Source organism: Homo sapiens, chromosome 13 (assembly GCF_000001405.40).
Source record: "Homo sapiens chromosome 13, GRCh38.p14 Primary Assembly".
In the NCBI taxonomy this organism is placed as follows: domain Eukaryota; kingdom Metazoa; phylum Chordata; class Mammalia; order Primates; family Hominidae; genus Homo; species Homo sapiens.
Window position 1 is genome coordinate 40,272,648 of NC_000013.11, and position 21,891 is coordinate 40,294,538.

Genomic DNA, 21,891 nt, shown 5'->3' on the forward strand with positions numbered 1-21,891 from the left:
AAGATAAATGATGGAGGTGGAAGATCAAGATGTACCTAGATTTGCCTTCTAAGAGCTAGTTTGCAACTTCCTTTGACCTCTATATTCTCCCAAAGAAACATGAGGTAAAACACAGAAAAAGCATCATGTTTTTCCTGAGGCATTCAGCCTTCCAAGATGTAGCTAAGAAGAAAGATTATATATGTATATAAATCTATAAAACCCTTATCTTGGTAGCTCTGATTCACCCACTTGTGTTGCCAAAATAACCTATTCAGGCTTTTAGGCATCTGGAGAAGTGAGAGTCACCCCTGGAACTCCTAAAGACCAAAGAGATGAGCTCATGCAAAATCTGCCACCTCAGTAACCTGCAAAGAAGCATGAAGAAGCTGAACAGGCGGGGCTTGGTGGCTCACACCTGTAATCCCAACACTTTCAGTGGCCAACGCAGAAGGATCTCTTGAGGCCAGGAGCTCGAGACCAGCCTGGGCAACGTAGTGAGACCCTCTGTCTACAAAAAATTTAAAAATTATCTAGGTATGGTGGTGTGTGCCTATAATCTCAGCTCCTTGGGAGGTTGAAGCGGGAGGACCGCTTGAGCCCAAGAGTTTGAGGCTGCAGTGAGCTACAATCACACCTCTGCACTCCAGCCTAGGCAACAGAATGAGAACCTGTTTCTTTTAAAAGAAGAAGAAGAAGCAGAAGCTGAGGAGCCCAGCACCTCCGCCTTCCTGCCATCACTGCCAGTTCCTTTGCCAGGGCTTTCCTCTGGCCCTCTAAGGACATCCTATTTTATCTGAGGCTCAGAGCAGATGAAAACGCAATTGTAGCACTTACAGCATCCACATAGGAACAGCCAGTTGTCATGATCTCTGAGAGGAAGGAAATAAGATGGTGTTTTATTTTTAAGTAGCCCAAGAGATTTCAATGATGGCATTAAAATTTTAATCACAAACTCCTTAAGTTAGGGGGAAAAAAATTAAAAAGCCCACAAAGGACTCATTGTATAAGAGAGTTTCACCATTTGGAGTTCTTTTATAAATTTGTGTCAGATCACAATTTGCTGTCTGAGAAATGTAAATTAGTTATTAATGAGCCAAAATTCTAACATCAAAGGCTGTGCAGCCACATGCCAGGGAGAAACAAAGAGCTCTCCCAGCACCGTCAACTGCTCCCCACCCTGGCCTGAATGCGGCATTCATCCTGAGGCGCTTTACTGCCTTATTAAGGAGATCACTTTTCTCAAATGTGATGGCACAGGGCACCTGGATCATTAGCGTCACCTCCACCTGAGCACTACGTGACTGTCAGAATCCCAGGCAGTAGGCAGTGTGTGTGCACCAAAAGGCAGCTTTCCACAAAGCTGCGCCGAGGCCCCCTTTCTGCCTCACTCGCGCAGCTGACCGTTTTCAAAGCACATTTAATGTTTGCAGCATAGCCCGACCCGAGGGCCATGGGGAACGCGGGTCTGTTTTTGAAGTATTCACATACAGTCTTCATATCCGCAGCCCTTTTTATTTCTATTCCAATCAACAGCCTAGATATAAAATGCACACACAGAATGAAAAAGAAGGACAGTTGTTTTTGAGCCTGTGGAAATGGCAGTAAGAGTCATCTCACGGAAGTCCTGCAGGCATTTGGAAATATTCATTTATTCATTCTTTCAGCAGATATTGTCATGCTCCTGTTGGGTGCTGACAGTGGAAATATAATGATTAGCAGAATAGACAGACCCTCCCCTCATTGGGCTCCCTGCCTAGTGAGGACAGACTGAAGTAACTGCTCTGATAACTCTACAGACAGTGCTGAGGGAAACCCCAGAGGCATGGGAACCCACAGCAAGGGGTCCCTGGCCTCGCTAGGGGACTGGGAATGGCTTCAATGAGGAGACATTCAGGCTGAGAGCAGAAGGAAGAGAGAGAGTTCACTAGGCAGAGAAGCCTAACAGGGGAGAGGTCAAGGCTGACAGCATCCAATAAAGAGGTGAGAGTTGGAAGCAGAAAAATGAATGCCCTCCATGGCTCCCTGGCCTAGATTCCTTCTCTCTTCAGAGCGAGGCCCCTGACCTCCACTGCCAGGCTTGGCCGGGTTAGAATCTCTGGTTGTCCTTAACCAGAAGCTTGGAGCACCCTGGGTTCCCAAGTTCAAATGACTCAGCCTCAGGTCACACTCGCTGGTGTCCCTTTTCCCTCTATGAGATTCTCATTCCTATGATCCCAGATCCAGTAAGAAGGACCCACTGTACCATGGTCCCAATGGCCAGCCCTCCTGCCACAGCCAGCAGACTACCTGTCTGTTTCCTCCTGTTGTCTGCACTTAGTTTCCCTGTTGCCACGTTTCACCTGTCCTCTGGACGATCCCCACCCTTGTGAAACCTTCCTGATAGGCCATCTGCCTCAGGTGACTCCTACAAACCAGGACCATCACTTCCCAGCACAGGGTCCACCTACCTGGCTGCTGTCCTCCCACCACAGTGGGAAGGTCACTCCCAGGGTGACCCCCCAAACCCTCTGTCCCTACAGGATGAGTCAAGCTCTCTGCAGGGCAGATTTAAGGGTGGGGAAAGTGAAAGGGAGCTGAAGAGGAGAACAAAGCAGGCAAAATCAGTGTAGGAAGAAAGCAGAAAGTATCAGAGCCTCCGAGAGCAAGGCCCAGCTTGGTAGTTTCGCTGTGCGGGCTGAGATCTCTGGCCTGTGATCTGGGCTGTGCCTGCCTAGGCCTTGTCTCTCTCACTCTCCCATCCCCACCCTGACTTCTCACCCAGGACTCTATGTTTACCCATGTTGAATGTCTTTCAGTTCCTTCAACAGAGTATCATTTCTCTCACCTCTGGATCTTCGAAAATATTCTTTTCTGGGCCTGGAATTTATACATCCTCCACCTTACCTGTCTAATCCATCTTTCAGCCCTCAGCCTGGACAGCAGTCTCCTGCCCCCCAGCACATCCACCCTAAATTACCCTCTGAGATGGTGCCTTTCCTAGGCATCTCATATCTCCCTGAACTTCCTGTGCCAGGGATCTCATTCCACTCATTTCAGCTGTAGGGTTATTTGTCTCCTCTGCTAGAATCCAAGTTTATAAGATCTAGGACTGCTTTTTTGTTCACTTTCTGTCAATTTCATCTCGTTCCTGGTTACTGGGTGCTCAAACACACAGTAAAAACCCAGTAAATATTTGTTCCATGAGTCAGTTGATGAATATCCACACTAACATCTCCGTTTTTATCACCATCCAAGGAAGAAGCAGAATTCTCTTCCCTAGACCATGGCCCTGAATGAGGAGCATACACTACTGTCACCTGGGCACCCTCCTCTCTGAAAGTAGCTTGGGAACATGGCAAATGTGTAGGGGTGCATGGGCGCCTCCACTACAACAAGCAGAACCCAGGGTCTCCCTGGTAAAAGGGCAGACGGCAACCACTTAGCATTATTAGAGTTGACTTCTTCCAGCCTCACCCACAGGGCCTCCTTAGGCTATGTCCTTCCCTGAGCAATCTCAGTTCCAAGGCCTTACAGAAAATAAAGTTCCTTCCACTTCTATTCCTGGATGAGATTGCTGACATCCCCCCGGGCAGCCTCCCTGCACCACTGGGCTGAAACTTTCTCCCTGTTTTCAGAGGTACCTACCGTTCCTGGCACACTCAGCCACAAGAGGCTCCCAGAGCAGCCGTTCCTCCTCCCGCTCTTCATTCAAATACATTTTATACATTTTCTAAAGAAACTTCCTGTCATTTTCATCTCATTTATAACCTTCCCAAAGTGTGATTCACAGAACAGGCAACAGAAGGAGCCCGGTGAAGGAGGACTCCCATGGTCACATGAATTTGGGAAATAGAGCATGGGTTGTTCCCGTCTTGGACAGTCACAGAGCATAAAACTGCAAAATGTCCTAAAGGAAAGAATTCTGCCAAGAACTTGTGGCCCAAAAGGCACAGTTGGGTCAATCTTGAACATGTCCCTCTGCACCACATTCATACACAGCAATGACAGACAAAATATAAGAAAATAACAAAGGCATAGCCCAGCGCGTACACACACACACACACACACATACACACACAAAACCCTCAGTAAACCAGAAATGAAGTGGAAATACAAAGGACAGACCTGCTGGTCCCCTGTTCAGGATGCAGGCAATGGACTCAGAGAATTCCTCTCCTGTGGGACAGAGAGGACTCAAACCATTTTGTAAGAAAGGACAGACTCAGTTCTCTGCTCACCAAACATGTGTTAACATCCTGCAGACAAGTGTTTTGCAGAACACACGTTTGAATGTGCTGCCTTTGAGACTTTCTCCTCCATGCTTGCCAGCCCATGCTGGCCTCAAGGTTCTCGGATATCAGTAATTTGTTCCTATCCTCTACACCTTTTTTTTTTTTGTCTCACTAAATATCGGCCTTCCCAAAGCTTATAGGGAAAACGTGATTACAAGATTCAAAATGAGAGGTATTCTGTCTCTTTCACTCTCTCTCTTTCTGTCTATCTCTCCTCCATCATCAATGTCTTCTTAGGTACCCTCTGCCTCGCCTTCCACTTACCTCACCCCTGACATCCTTCACGCTTACTGATCTCCGTGACTGTTGCTCTAATAACCCCCAATGACCACACCCAGCAACATGCTTTCAGACCCCATTCTCTGTGATTCTCCAGTTTCCAATGCTGCCAAACGCCCTCCTGATGAACCTAGAGAATCCTTGGCTTCTCCAGTACTTTCCATTTCCTCTACCTGTCGAAATGCCTCAATTCTTTATTTTTCTTCTCCTGTCTCTGAGATGTTGGTGTTTCCAAAGTCTCTGCCCTGAGCCCTCTGCTCTTTCTCTCTTGTTTGCACAGCCATTCCCCTGCATTATTCTCCATATGCACACATCACTCAACACTACCTCATTGGCCTTCACCTTGCTCCTCGACATTTCCAAATACCCAGAAGTTTCGAGAAACTTGTGTTTCAAATACTGATCTGAAAATGGTGAGTTGGCTTTGATTTTGTTTCTGTTATTGTTTGTTGCGCTGTTTCTGGTGTGTTACAGTGGTCGGAGCACAGACACTGATTATAAAACACAGCTTTCCACTCTGTTTTCACTCATTTACTTGGTTGTATGTCCAAGCTCATGACTTCTTTTAAACGTATCAAAGCAGCCTGTCACAACCATGTGTCCTATTGAATTATTGACTTCTTCTAGTAGAGTAAATCAGTTTAAACATGTTAAAATTCCCATATACCAAGTATATCTGTACCCGAATGCAGCCACATTACTGAATAATATTAAATGTTTTGTTTTGCTGCTTCAGAAACAATTTTCAAATGCATTCCCTATATTTTCACATTTTCAGCTCATTTTAAACTTAATTACTATGGTTAGCTGAAATTTTTCAAGTCTATTTTTATCTGCTTCTCAATTTTCTCCTATCGCATTGGTAAAATTTGTTTAATCCTTTAAAGATTTTTGGTAAATATTTATATATTTGTGCATAAATGTCTAAAACCCTATTCGTTTGTATAAAGTCATAAGGATATATAAAATATATATATATTATATATATATATGACTTAGCCAAATATTTTAACTGTGCAAATCAAATTTGTTTTGCAATGCAAAGGGAGAAAAACACATCTTCCCTATTTGTCCTCTTACAATCAGCTGTCTACTTCTTCTCCAGAAAAGCAGCATGAAATTATTTCTTTCTGCTCCTCTCTTTTCAGTTGCTGCTGTCTTACCATCATTTTCCTAATAGCGAAGCTCCAACACCAGTGTTCTCTTACACCTCTCCTGCTTATTCACTGGCTCACCATAAAGCCCCAAACCCCTCAAAATCAACTGTGAAGCTCTTTCCACTTTGCCATCACGAAGTCTCTCTTCACATGGAAATAAGTGTTCCTCAAAATACTCCTCCAACCCAGAGACAGGGACCTGAGTCAGTATTAGGATTCCTGTAAGACCCCACATATACCCATCATACCTGAGCCCTCTGAAGAAGTACCTCGTTGTAAGAGACAGCATAAGAGATCCAGATAAGAGAAGAGAATAATATAAGATAAGAGAGTAATATGTTATGCGATGAGAACACATGGACACATGAGGTGGGAAACAACACACGCTGGAGCCTGTCGGGGAGTGGGGGGAGGGAGAGCATCAAGAAGAGTAGCTAGTGGAGGCTGGGCTTAATACCTAGGTGATGGGTTGATCTGTGCAGCAAATCACCATGGCACACGTTTACCTATGTAACAAACCTGCACATCCTGCACATGTATCCCAGAACTTAAAATAAAAGTTAATGAAAATAATAATAATAATAATAATAATAATATGTTCTGCATCTAGGCAAGAGGATCAGGGCACCTTCAATAAAGGAAAGTTCTGGATTTAAGCCTTGTAAAGAAAGCTTTATACCAGGTGCAGTGGTTCATGCCTATAATCCCAGCCATTTGGGAGGCCAAGGCGAGAGGATCGCTTGAGGCCAGGAGTTCAAGACCAGCCTGGCCAACATGGTGAAACCCCATCTCTACTAAAAATACAAAAATTAGCTGGGCATGGTGGTGCATGCCTGTAATCCCAGCTACTTGGGGAGGTGAGGCATGAGAATTGCTTGAAACCAGGAGGAAGAGGTTGCAGTGAGCCAAGATGGCACCACTGCACTCCAGCCTGGGTGACAAAGCTAGACTCTGCCTCAAAAAAAAAAAAAAAAAAAAAAAAAGAAAGCTTTAACCCACTCAATCATAGTGTGATGTGACTGGCATCAAATCAGTCAAACTTGGATAGTTGATTGAGAAAGGAATCCATCAGGATCACTCCATCCATATTCATCTGCTGTCATCCAAGGAATCCCATCATTATGTCACTGATTACCAGCAAAGCTTGTTCTTTGCTAGACATAGTTTTTTAGAATAGAAGCGATTCAGACGAGATGAAATATTCCATGGGAAAATTTGGTCCCCTTTGTCTACTGCTGCCTCGACTCCAGACTTTTGTAAGGTTTGATGATGAAAAATGTGATCTCTGGAATCAGATAGACCTGGGTTCATTTCTAGCCTGCCTCTGATATTTACCAGTAGGAACTACTGGGAAAAATCCTTAACATCATCACTACTGCTCCTAGTATTACTATTAGTAATAATTATTATACCAGTAGCAGCTAAAATGTGTTGAGTTTTTATTATGCACTCTAAAAATCTTCCCATCTGTGAAGCTGGACTAATAAAATCAACTTGAGAGTGTTGTGAGATAAGATGAGCCGTATGTGTAAATTGCCCTGCACATAGCATACAGCCAGGTGATAGTAGCTATCATTATTTTTTGATGTCCTTATCTGCAGGAGAGAATGTATTGTGTGCAGATGCACAGTCTCATCCCTTGAACAGCGAATTAATAAAGTGATCTTCTGGCTTGTTAATCAGCCTCTCAAGTGCCTGATAAGCTTTGCAAATACAATAATACTAGGTTCCAGTTTTGTATCATTAAGGACTAGAGCTTGGACTCTAAGAGACCAGAGAAGTAAGGTAGTCTTGTGGTTGAGGTCACAGATTCTTGAGTCAGAATGCCTGAGTTCATATCTCAGGTCTGCCACTTAGAGACAGTACAATCTCCCTAAGCCTAAATTTCCTCATCTGTAGAATGGGATTAATGATAGTACCTATCTCATAGGAATCTTGTGAGGATTCAATGAGATAATGTAATCTTCACAACATTTCTATGGGTAGGTATCATGAATATCAATCACCATTTGACAGAAGAGTAAACTGACATTTAGAGAAGGGAGATTATTTGCTTTACATCAGATGACTAGAAACTGATGGAGGCAAAATTTGTATCCAGATCTATCCAGCTTCAAAGCCTGAGTCCTTAACCACATTCCACCACCCAAGTGGCCCTCCAACCTGTAGTACTGGGCATTTAGCTGAGTAAATCCAAGTCCTTTCATATACTTTAAGGTGCTTGAGGGAAGAAATTATGCATCTTATTCATCTTCATTTTCCCTTCAGCACCTAGTCCTATATTTTATTCATTGAAATGTTTCTTAAACCAATGGTGAATGCCTAATAAAATAAATGTATGCACGAATAAAAATAAATCAAAGAAAGAGATGCTTATTAAGAGAATAGGGTTTAAAAATATCCACAATCAAGAAGGGTTGGACTTAAGAAGAAGAGGAGGAGGAGAAAAATAAGGAGGAGGAAGAATAAAAGGTATAGCCAAAGGTCATTACAATCCTTTGAGAGAAAATGGTATAGTAAGATAACCCTGCAGGTTAAGGAAGGTGCAGGGGGTGAAGAAGGAAAGCCTGAATACAAAGGCAGCAGCATGAACAGATCACTTATGGGAAGGCTACACCTGTAAAGGAAGGTGTTGTGAAGAGCTATAACTAGAAAGGGAAAAAGTCAAGTGAAGAATTGCATTTGCTTTTTATAAAATAAGATGAACCTGATTATGCTGACAGGAAGAGAGGATTAACTTCCATATAGAAGGGAGAATAAGAGTTCTGGAAGGGAAAGTGATCATTGCAAAAATAATGTCCCAGAAGAGATAAAAGGAACTGGATCTAGAGTTTTCCAATCCATGGGTTACAAGCCAATATTTTGGGAATGGGATGGGATGGGATGGGATGGGATGGGATGGGATGGGATGGGATGGGATGGGACGGGATAGGGTGAGATGGTGTATTATTCAGGGTTCTCTAGAGGGACAGCCAGTGGGCCATCTTTTAATCCATATTTCAGCTAACCAAGCAAATAAACTATTAGAACCTTTTTAAACTCTCTGAGCTGCAACATTAAATGCAGAGTCCCTACTTAATGGGCCCAAATCAATGAATTCAGACATCCATTCCATGTTCCTTCCACCATTATCCCACACCCTTAACATCCATTCCCATGCCTGTTCTCCAGATTTCTGCTCATATAAATTAGAAAACTCAAGCAGTTCTTTTCAAGTGTAGCACACCTCCTCATGGGTCACACTCTCAACCTCACCTCTAGGGGCCTGCCGGGACTTTAGTTTAGTTATAGGCCTAGAAGCAAGCAGGGGTGTTGGGGGTGGCTCCTGAAAAGGATCAACAATATCTTGCCTGGCAACTGCCTCAGGGGAGGCCATTACTGTTGCCTCAGGCAGCACAAGGTTTATCTGCCCAGGCAAAGGTGGAAAGGCTGATGGCAGCATGGGACGGGGAAGGGATGTTGCCACTACGGGGGATGAGGAAGCTGTTTCTTCGGGCAAAAAAGTTCATCAGAGTTTACAAACTCAGTGTCCCCAGCTTCATCAGGGTCCTCCCACACATCCCCATTCCAAGTTGCAGGGTCCCACTATTTTCCAATCAACGCCCTCATTTTAACAGTAGACACCTGGCGAGGCTATGCATGCACCTTCTGTTGCAGGTCAGCCACTCATATGATAAGAACTTATGTCTGTTTTTCCACTATTTCAGCTCTTTCTCCATAGGAGATAAGACTCTCAGTTGGGGCAATGTTAGCAGATTTGAGGCTCAATATCTATTTCTGAAGCCAGGAGTTAGAATCCCAGAGTTCATTTTCTTTCATCACTTTGTCCACTGAACTTAGGAGCAGCCAACTAGCTTCATTATATTCCTTGGTTCTCCACATATAGTCAAAGGTATTATGTATAGAGTCACTAAACTCCTTGCCTCTCACAAGTGATGAATCAGGAGTGTCAAATGCATTTAACTTGTATAACTCTCTAAATAGTTCACACCAAGGCCTGTCAGTGTTCTCCATACTATTAGAAATAGAGTCCTTAGCATTTTTTGGGTCCAATCATATTAAGCAGCCAACTCCAGAAACTGCAAGACCAATGAAAGAACTCCATCCTTAATATTCTGTTCGTCTAGAACCACTCCTGGTACCAAAATCTGTATTAGTCAGGGTTCTCTAGAGGGACAGAACTAATAGGATGGAGATATAGATATATATATCTATATCTCCATCCATATATATATATATATATATATATATATATATATATATATATGAATTTATTAAGTATCAACTTACACGATCACAAGATCAAGATCCCATGATAGGACATTTGCAAGGAGAGCTAGTCCAAGTCCCAAAACTGAAGAACTTGGAGTCCCATGTTCGAGGGCAGGAAACATCCAGCACAGGAGAAAGATGTAGGCTGGGAGGCTAGGCCAGTCTCGCCTTTTCACGTTTTTCTGCCTGTTTTCTATTCTAGCCATGATGGTAGCTGATTAGATGGTGCCCACCCAGATTAAGGGTGGGTCTGCCTTTCCCAGCCCACTGACTCAAATGTTAATCTTCTTTGGCAACACCTTCACAGACACACCCAGGATCAATACTTTGCATCCTTCAATCAAGTTGACACTCAGTATTAACCATTCAAGATAGGATGGAAATTATTGGAATGCCTCACATTTTAAGAGGCTTGTTTCATGTGTGTACAGGTCATGATGAAAAGCCTATTTTTTACTGTGAGCTGTAGTCAAAATATGTTTGAAGCAGTGGTCATGGGTGAAAAGGTTAGATTTAAGTTCTCCAGGACAACCTCACTGTGCTTTTAGCAATGGTGCTAGATGCCTGTCCTGACCGACTACAATTCAGATAAACCCACCCATCCCATCTTCTTTTTTCCCTCCTCTTCTTCTCCCATCCCTCCCTTTCTTCCTTTTTCCTTCCTTCAATAAACATTTATTGAGCATCTATCTACAGCCTACCATTCAGTTTCCTAGGCTCTGGGCACACTCCTATCCTCACAGGGCTTCTAGTACAGCACTTACTATCTAGTAAGAATGACCTCTGGACACCCAAGACTATTTGCAGCACAGGCCTGGGCCTATTCTCCTAGTTCTCGCTTTGCAACTCAATCCCTGACTCAACTTTGCCTTCCCTCTCCTCTCATATCTGGATAACTGGCATGGTCTTACTATGGCTCTAAGCCCTGCTCCTTTCCTCAAACACTCTTATCCTCTGCCTCATATGATTCCAGCCCAGCCTGGCCCCAGCCTCAGCTCCCACTCAATACTCACCCACATGCCCATGCTGCTGCCCAGCCTGCCTGAGGCCCCAGGTAGCGACACAGCCTCCTGGCCCCCCAGGTAGTGAAGGAAGGATCTGTCCTCCCACACACGCAAAAGCATTGTATCTCAAGGAGGTACCAGAAGAATGTAAGTATCCCAAGTGAACTTCACTCTTGTCAGGATACCAAAATTCCTGAGAGGTGTTCTCAGTTGTGACTTGGCAAAGCCCCTGGAAGATGGGCAGGGTGGCTTGCACATCGCATTGATATGCTCATGCTGCATGTGCAGGCTGCTCTATTTGGCCATCCATTTAGGTCAGGTTCTTGTTTTTCCAGTTTTCTTCCATTCCACACACATCCCTTTGTGACTGAGGTTTTTACTTCAGGCATTCAGATGCACAGTCTTAAATGTGGCTTCTTGCATTGAGCTAATTAAAACAAGAGAAAACTTTCTGCTGCAAGATTTGTGAAGGGGAAAGTCTACAAAATTTTCAATGTTTTAACACCACTGGAATGAGAGAAGAGGACAGCTTCAAAAGGGCCTGAGAAAATAGCTATTTCCAAAGCCCTCTTTCTTTATTGTTTTGTTTTGTTTTGTTTTGAAATGGAGTTTTGCTCTTGTTGCCCAGGCTAGAGTGCAACGGCCCAATCTCGGCTTACTGCAACCTCTGCCTCCCAGGTTCAAGCGATTCTCCTGCCTCAGCCTCCCAAATAGCTGGTATTACAGGCATGCGCCACCATGCCTGGCTAATTTTTTGTATTTAGTAGAGAAGGTGTTTCACCATGTTAGTCAGCCTGGTCTTGAACTCCTGACCTCAGGTGATCTGCCCACCTTGGCCTCCCAAAGTGCTGGAATTACAGGCATGTGCCGCCACGCCTGGCTTCCAAAGCCCTCTTTTATAGATGATCACACTGAGGTTCATGAAGTTAAGAAATTCACCCAATTTTAATAGTCCATGGCAGCTGAGATGTTCTATGAGGGGCCTCAGGGGTGACTAGGGAAGGAGGGAAGGGCTCAGGGACTGGCACTCCACACCCTGTTTCCTTTTCATCCAAAGCAGCTCTGCTTGTATCTGTTTCATGTGCCAGCTTCTGCATGAGAATTAGTTTGAAAAGAGAGCTTCACCACTTCAATAGCAAAAAAGCACACACACAAAATAGCAAACTCTGCCATAATTTTTATAACATTAAATTAGACCCCATTTACATAAACAAGAAAAAAAAGTACTCTAAGAAGATGTCAAATTCCAGTTAATGATATCCATGCTGTTTCACCAGTTAAGGGAAAGTTTACTGATGCCTGCAAGTAACCTTGAAATGTATCCCAAAAGTAAGAAGGATTAATGAATGGATGGAAGGATAGATATATGGGCAGATTGGCAATAAATCAAGTAGTAAAATGCTAACGGTAGGATTTAGATGGTGGGTTGGGTTTGTAGGTGATCTTGGTAGAGAGTCTTTCATTCAACTTTTCTACTTATTTGAAAACTTCATAATATAATGTTGGGAGAAAAAATTGACACCAGGTGCACATGCTCCAATAAATGTTTTCTTACCTTTTACTAGCTAGTTAAAAACAAAAAAAGAAAATGAATATTATGCCTGTACCACCTTACTGCATGGCCAATCCTGTTATTATGAGGAGAAAACAGAAATAATCAATGTGATCACTTTGGGAAAGTAAAACACTACCTCAAATATTTTGCCAAATTAATCATTTATTAACCAACTTTTAATTATGTAACTCTTTGAACTTCTAAGAAACTGCTGGGTCTAACTGAAGCCTCTCACATTTCTATAGTGCACTAACCTTTGATAAGTAATTAAATAAGACCTTTTACACACGTTGTTTTGTTTGAACCAGACAGTTCTGTAAAATGTATAGGAAAGCATCGTCCCCACTTTGCAGATGATGAGACTGAAGCTCCAAGACCACACAGCCATCTATAATCACATGGCTGGATCTTGAAATAAAGCTCATGATTTCCAGCTCCTGGGGAGGGTGATGATGGCAAGAGGAGGGCAGAGTAGATCCACTGTGGCATTCATGAAGGCCTTCAGGTTGAAGAAATGCAAAGCAGCAAGATTGAAATGGACAAGTTAATGGAATGATCTGATCAGATCTAGTGATTAAACATCTTTGTATATTTCCTTCTTAACTTGTAAAGTATTACTTTACCTCTTACAGATGACCACTTTGCAGTAAATGATTTACTAATGTTTGCATCAGCACTCACAATTGTCTCCATTTCAAAATAAATTCTGGTTACATATTGAAGTCCAGAAACTGTAGAGGAGGAATGGGAACTTGGAAGTCTACAATGTGTTCATTATGAAGTTCTGGGGCATTAATCACTGAAATGAAATGGACCTCAGTTTCTTCCTCAATACAGTAGGAGATGCCAAATTAACAGAGAGACATAGACTTGAATTTTACACGTAAAATGGATCATGATGATTATTTATTCCCTCAGTTAGCTACCTGGAATTTCAAAGACTTCTAGACTAGCATAAGTCTTTGAAATTCAAAGACTTATATTATTTCAAAACTTGTCGTAGAAAACATGTACTTATCCAAAATGGTGATGGTCAAATTAAAACACCTCTATTATTTCATTATATTATTCTCCTGTTCAGCCAAGCTTACACTGGCTGTTAAAAACATCTCTAATTCTTGAAAAAAATCAAAATAAAAAAATCACTTAGATGCAATTTATTCTACTGGAAAAGTTTTCTAAACTTTAAAAGGAGGATGGGAGAAGGACGGATAATAAAAAAGATTATTTATCTTTTATCCCAAATTGTGAGATAATAATCTTGTCAAAATTCTCTGTTTTACTAATAAGAACTAAAGAATCAAAGAAACTGGGTGATCTCAGTTAATCCAACAAGCGAGACGTGAGCCAGAAATTAACCCAATATTTATTGGGGTATATAATAATACGAAGTATATGGATGAGTTTTGAGACAGTTCAAAACAACACATTCATTTAAGCTTTTCTTTTTTAATGAACAGATAGCTATACTTTGGGCTATAAATTTCACATTTTGTTCATCCTCAGATTATTTTGGTGGTAAGAGCAGCTTTTCCAATGTGGCTCACAGCTGCCTCAACTTATCAAGAAATCACTAGTCCTTCAAAAGTCAGATGTTTCAAAAAGATTGCCCATTAATTCTAGACTTAAGCAGAAAGGGCTCTCACAGTTCCTGTGTCAGCACAGTGGCATCATCTTTTGGGTGAAAAGCAAGGGAACACATGCATTCTTCTGATAAATTCTTCAGTACTGTTGACCATATACAATAATTGAGGCTGAGAGCAGAGGCTCTGGGAAAAGACCCAGTTCAAACCCCAATTCTACCACTAAACTTGGGCAAGTGACATATCCCCTCAATCCTCTCATGCATGACACAGTGATAAATTAATGCATGCCAAATATCTAGCTACATATAGCACACAGCAAATATTCAATCCATGTTAATAGCTATTATTAAAACATTGGCTAGCTGGTAACTTCCTACAAGGAAGCGTGTGTCTTTGTTTAACCAGGAGTTATTCCTGCCATTTTCTTTTAGAATGTTTCAGATCTCCAGAAAATGAGCCCCTAATTGCAGAGTTTGATGTTGAACAATTAATTCCAGGGAGCTGTATCTTGAGTCTGGCATAGGGTGATTCCTCTCTCTCTCTCTCTGTATCTTGATTGCAACATAATTTTTTAATGACCACTCAGCCAGGGCCCCTGGGGCGCTGAAAACTCAACATGGTCTCTTCACCCCAGAACCTTGGTTTAGTGCTGAGCATGTACCAAGCTTTGTGCCCCAGTGTGTGGGAGGACGTACCCCTGTCACATCAGCCAGGAAGGGCTTTACACTTAAGTCACAGTTTCTTGGCTTGGAGCTCTCATTAGTTCAGTTTCTGGGGCCCCCGAGCTTCCCACAGCTCCTTTGCAATGGGTCCTGTTGGCTAACACCTCTGTGGCCACTTGACTTTTTCATGCTGTCTACTGCTGGGGTCAGACCCAAAGTGATTGGCATGTCTTCCCTCACTCTAGTCCAGCATCTGGTTTTCCCCACTGGCACTCCCTGCTCAATGCTACCACCACCATGTTCAGACAGCCACTCCTGATGTCGTTGTTGATTGCACACCAATCTGCAGATATTGTGGGTTGTAATGAACAGCAAGGCAGAAGAGACCACCAGGGGAATGACGGTTGCAGGAGGGCCCCTGGAGTCTCTACCCTGAAAGCTGAGCTTGCCAAGTATGAATGTGGGTTGGCTTAATATCCCTGGGATGACCACACTCCCAGCAAACTGAGATGGGAAAACCAGATCATTCATATGTCCATTCACCATGTGTGATTGTTATAGAGGCTGCAATTTACTTTAATAAGCTTAAAGCAAAGCTAGTGTAATGTTTTGAATGTGCTGATTAGTTCAAGCTTCATTCTAGGGCTGCCCCAAAAGACAAACCACATTCCAGTGGTGGTCTGCTCACCTACATCAGAAAGACCACATTCCAGTGTGGGCCATCACAAGAATGTCCCTAGTCCATACCTTGGTCAATACCTGAGGCTTTGCTAATAAGCAGAGTGAATGTTATAAATGAAATTTCTAATTGATTAAAGTAGACTTCTTGAATAGCACGATGGATGTTGGAAATTGGTAAAAAAATAAGTAAAGGTAGTTGAGAAATGTGGATTGATTAAAATATTTAAAGACACTCCCAGCTCTTACAGCAACGGGGTATAAGAATCTAAGGAGGCCCATAGCCCTTGTCCTGAGGGATGGCGCACAAGGCAAGTTCCTAAACAGTCCTGTGTAAACAGCCATGACCTTGGAGGATTCTCCTTGCACGTTGCTAGCCATGAGAGTACAGGAGCCTGCCTCTGGAACCCAGGGAAATTGCCTCCGGTGAACACAGCTTTTACACAAGGTGTGGACAGAGAGCTGGAATCTCAACAAGCTTCCAGAACAGCTTCCATGAGCCACTTTTGTGCTTGGTTGTTAACAAATGCTCAGTGAATAAGTGGCTATCTGTGTGGCAGCAAGACTGAGACTGCAGTGAGCCAAGCGAGGCGTTCGCCTCAAGTGCAAAATTTAAAAGGGTGCCGAAGCAAATATTTTAACGCAAGTTTTAAAAAATCTGTGATGAACAAAATACCCAGTTTTAAATAAAGACAGGCTGTTGATGTTTGTTTTATAGCCCAGCTTTACTGTGCATCAAGAACAGTTGTTTCCAATCAGCCAGAGATTCCAGGACCCCTGCCTGGGGCCGCCTTCACTCAGCAGGTTTACGAAGGCTGAAGATGGTAAACACAGGTTAGGCAATATGGGTGGGCATTATATAGTCATGGTTTTTGATTAGAGCTTTTATTAGCTTTTGATATTAATATGATATAATTATATAATATGTATTTATATAATTTTTTATATATTTATTTATATATTTATTATATAATTTATATATTTTTTATAATCAGTTATATAATACATATTTATAATGTATAGTAAATATAAAAGATAATATATGAGGCTGGGCACAGTGGCTCACACCTGTAATCCCAGCACTTTGGGAGGCCGAGGCAAGTGGATCACCTGCAGTCAGGAGTTCAAGACCAGCCTGACCAACATGGTGAAACCCCATCTTTATTAAAAATACAAAAATTAGCCGGGCATCATGGTGGGTGCCTGTAATCCCAGCTACTCAGGAGGCTGAGGCAGGAGAATCGCTTGAACCCGGGAGGCGGAGGCTGCAGTGAACCAAGATCATGCCACTGCACTCCAGCCTGGGCAACAGAGCAAGACTCCATCTCAAAAAAAAAAAAAAAAGATATTCTATACTAATGATATAATAATATAAATATTAACTATTAATAAAGGTACACAGAGGCACACATTCTTCCTTTTGCTCAGGCTCCAGCATGGCTGGACACAGCATGGGGTGGTGGATTTTCATCTGAGATTCACTCTCCTCATAACCCGGTGATGAGGTTGGGCGTGTTGGGAGAGTTTGCAGCAGTGGCACTTTTTCCTGGTGACTTATATTCTGGCCTCCCTCTCCGTCCATGGCACCTGCTTTCCCAGGATCAAGGTCACTGGCAACATAAATTAATAGTTAGGTTTCTGGGTAGTGTAAAATTACAGCAAAGAAAGGAAAATATATGGATGCCTGAGCTATGCCCTGAGTGTTTGTGTCCCCCCAAAATTCATGTTAAAACCGTCATCCCCAGTGGATGGTATTTAAAGATGGGGCCTTGGAGAGATGATTAGGTCTTGAGGGTGGAGCCCTCGTGATAGGATTGATGTCTGTGTTAGCCCGTTCACACACTGCTCTAAAGACATACCTGAGACTGGGTAATTTACAAAGAAAAGAGGTTTAATTGACTTACGGTTCCACAGGCTGTACAGGAGGCATGGCTAGGGAGGTCTTAGGAAACTTACAATCATGGCGGAAGGTGAAGGAGAAGTAAGCACACCTTACATGGTGGGAGCAGGAGGAAGAGTGAAGGCAAATGGGGAGGTGCTACACACTTTCAAACAACCAGATCTTACAAGAACTCTATCAGGAGATAGCACTAAGGGGATGGTGCTACACCATTAGAAACCACCCCCATGATCCAATCACCTCCCACCAGGCCCCACCTCCAAAACTCAGGATCATAATTTAACATGAGATTTAGGTGGTGACACAGAGCCTAGCCATATCAGTATCCTAATAAGAAGAGACACAAGAACTTGCATCTTCTCTTTGCCCTCCACCTTGTGCAGACACAATGAGAAGACAGTTTTCCATGAACCAGGAAGCAGCCTTCACCAGATACCAGATCCTCCATGGGATCATGGACTTCCCAGCCTCCAGAACTATGAGAAATAAATGTGTGTTGTTTAAGCCATGCAGTCTATGGAACTTTGTTATAGTAGCCCAAATGGACTAACATAGCATATATGTACATATGTATGTGTGTGTGTGTGTGCATGCATGAATGTGTGTGTACATGTGTGTTTCTTAACTACTTTCTATTTGCTTAAAATATAATATTGGGGGGATAGTTTGAATTTTTTTAATTATAGAAAAGCATCGATAAAAGTAAAAATATTTTTAGAATCACTCATAATCTTACTACACACACATACTCACACACATATAAAAGAAGAAACTGTCTTAAGAGATTTCAAGAAGTTTCAGTCAAGAAAGCACTTCCAATAAATGGAAACATAAAATTTTGGGGAATTCCTAGTAGATGCATCTTTGAGATGCATCTTGATGGACAAATTGCTAGGACAGATTGTTGAGTGAGTAAAGCAAGTTGTAGAATGATAAGTGCAGTTTGATGCTAAGTACGGTGTGATACTATTTATGTCATAGACACCCACACACAAAACAAGTCACACCATACATTCTCTATAAGTGCATGTGTGTTTACATAAATGCACAGAAAGGATGTGGAAGGTGCCCCTCCAGCCAAGAATGATGCTGATCTCTCAGGAGAAGCAGGAGGGGATGAGATTGGGTAGGGGCCTGGTCAAAGAATTTCCTTCTATATAATGTTTTAATATTTTACAAGGGAATAGTATTCATATGAATTACAAGATGACCATTCCAGGGAAGTGGGCAGTGTGAATTTTAAGTGGGAAAGAAGAGGGCAGTTTGAAGACAGTTTGGCAGTAACAAAGTGTACCAAGAAGGCTAGTTAGGAGAGCATACCAAAAGGTAGGTAATTTTTAAGATCCAAAAGTAAAGGAACTTAAACTCCAGGCTGAGGAACTGGTACTTTATTCATAGCTATGCCATAGGAAGATACTTTGGATACCCACATATAAAGCACATTTGTTGGAAAATCAGTTAGGAAGCCACATCAATGGCCAAGTGAGCCCAGTCTGGGACAGGAAGAGGAGGAACTGAGGAAAAAGATGAGACAGATTTTGAACCCACCTAATCTGATAGGGAGCAGGAAGAGTGAAGGCAAGGACAGCAAGAGAGGGAGGAATCAAAGATTTCATCCATGTGGCTGGTGTGATGTTGTTGTCACTTAAAGAGGTACAGAATTTTCTTTTTTTTGAGACAGTGTCTCGCTGTGTTGCCAGGCTGGAGTGCAGTGTCACAATCTCCCAGTCTCATCTTGGCTCACCGCAAACTCCGCCTCCTGGGTTCAAGCAATTCTCATGCCTCAGCCTCCCGAATAGCTGGGATTAAAGACATCCACCACCATAACTGGCTAATTTTTGTATTTTTAGTAAAGACAGGGTTTCACCATGTTGGCCAGGCTGGTCTCGAATTCCTGACCTCAATTGATCTGCCTGCCTCGGCCTCCCGAAGTGCTGGGATTGAAATACAGACTTTTTAAAAATAGAGATTGGAAAGAGAAAATACTAATGATCACCAAATTCTCTCTCTCAAACACATAAGTAAGTGAATGAAATTTCTTTCCAATGATTAACTGAGCTAATATGTGGAAAGCTCTGAGAACAAAGGCAATGCTTAACTGCAATAATAGTGGCAAACACACACGGATAGTTTTTATGTATCAAGCATGATTGTAAGCACTTTAATGTATTAAAATTTTAATTCTCACCATAATTATATGCAATAGGTATTATTACTATGGCCATTTGGCAAGATTACATTTGCAGAATTGTGACGTGCCTTGCCGGAGTCCTGTTGATAGCAAGCTGGCAGAACAGGCATGCATGTCCGAGCCACCTGGTGCCAGGGCCCATAATTTCACTCTCATCCAAATTGCTTTCAACAGATGACAGTGGTGGTGTCGTTATTAAAAAACAAGTTATTAAGCATCCCTATGTCCTAAGCTCTGTGCTGAGTATTGTCCAGATGCCATATAATGTAACATTTTGGCCCATTAACTTAGAAACCATATTTGAAAAGGTAAAATTATGTAAAAGTTATTTAAATCTCATTAAATCAAAAAATTCAATTAAATAGAAATCTCTTTCGTAAACATTTTACCTAATAGCGATTTCAGCATATGAAAATTGACTTGTGGATGACAATTCCACAAAAAATAATGTCGACTGCAAGGGGCAATTTGTTAAATCAGGTAAGGAAGGAACTTGGGGGTCACAGTCATTGTGGCAACTGCTCAGTGCTAATTATAAAATGTTGAAGAGCTGTCAGAGAGAAAGCCAACCTGGGAATCTCCATGGCTGTCTAATGGGAAGCAGTTACAGCCAGATTACATTGGAGAAAGAAAAATGGAAAACACCACCTGGTTGAACCCCACCTTTTAGAGATAATGAAACCTGAGCTAAGGGGAGCCCCCACGGGATCCCTCAGGTAGAGTCAGGCTAGAGCACTCTGTCTGGCAATCCCCTCTCCAGGGTGACATCCTGGCTAAGGTAACAGAATTAGGTGACATATGTGACTTGAATGCACCAGGGATTCCCAAAGGTTGAGAGGCCTGGGCCACGTACATTTGGGGCTTTAGGAGTGGTGGGGGCTTCTAATATGTTAAAAAATAAAGATGAATCACATAAAGCCACAGACATGGTCAGTTCATCTCCATTCGCTGGCACCAAAAGGACTGACAGTATGACTTGGTTTGGCTGGAAAGTGTCAATTTATGTCTGTTTTCCTGATGGAATGATTCATGAGCCTCCTTTCACTGCCAACAGTTTTCAGTCTGGATAATATATTAACTGGTCACCTTGATCAAAAAAGTCTGTGTGAATGTGACATACTGGGCCAATGGTCATCCTGCTGCCTGCCTGTCATGCCCACCTAGCCTCACCCAGCCCCACAGGCCATGGTACACGTGGCTCTGTGATTTGGGACACCCTTGCATTTGTATTAAATGAGCCACAGTCACCTGCTGGCAAAGGACAATATCACCATGCTAAGATCAACAGGGGGACTGGTGGAAGAACTGTGGGGCAGGAGAATCTCAATGGCATTGTCTGGGTACCCAGCTTTGACTTGTCCTTGACACAGTTAACTGCATGTGTCTCTACTCTGCTTGTAAAATAAAAAGTGACCACTGTATTCTGTAAAGGCAAGGACACAAGTCTTTCTACCTGATGCCATGAATATGCCTGGATATATTGACATATGACATGGATATATGTCCACAAAGATGGATACATGTGATATATACATGATCATTTAAAAAGTCGTAAAGAAAAATACACGCGACCAACAAGTTTGTCGTCATGGGTATGTTGGGATGAGGTGGAAGGATGGAACATTCAATAGGACAGGAAGGTGAGGAGGAAGGGAGCCAAAAGACAAAGGGAAAAATAATGATAGAGACAGCACTAAAAAGAGAGAAGCAAATTGATTATAAGATGGCTTTACACATATAGGTAAAACTAGGTATGTGTGCATGCATGAAGTAGAGACACATGCAGAATGGATCAAGTGTTAGTCTGGGAGTTGATCTCCCAATGCTCTGTGAGAATATCTTGTTCACTCCAGCCTCACCGAGTACTTAGGATAGTGCCCACGCACAGATATTTCTGGAAGGAAATAAGAATGCAAGCTAGCAAATCAACTTGATTTCTATCCCTAAAGACACTACTCCTTAGGTGTGCAGCTCTGGGCAATACTTCCTTGGCCCAGAGGTAGCTGAGAGAATGAAAGACTGTTTTCAACAAGGGCAGGGCTGAGCAAAAAATTCAGGCAGACAAATTCTCCTAGACACCCCCAGACATTGCGGCCACTAGTTTTGCTGCAGTGGCAGCCTGCTTTGAAGCTGCGTGTTTGGTCTGTTAAGCTTTCTTAATTCATGTGCACATACTCACGTGCACGCACACACACAGAAAGGCAATAAAGAAAAATTACCTACAGTTTTCTTTTCAATGTGTATAAATGTGTGTTTTCAAATTTATACTTTTAAATATGTAAATGCCATCCCTCACACTTTTTAATTGTACGTATAAACAAACTCTTTTTTAACAAAATGAGGTCATTTATATT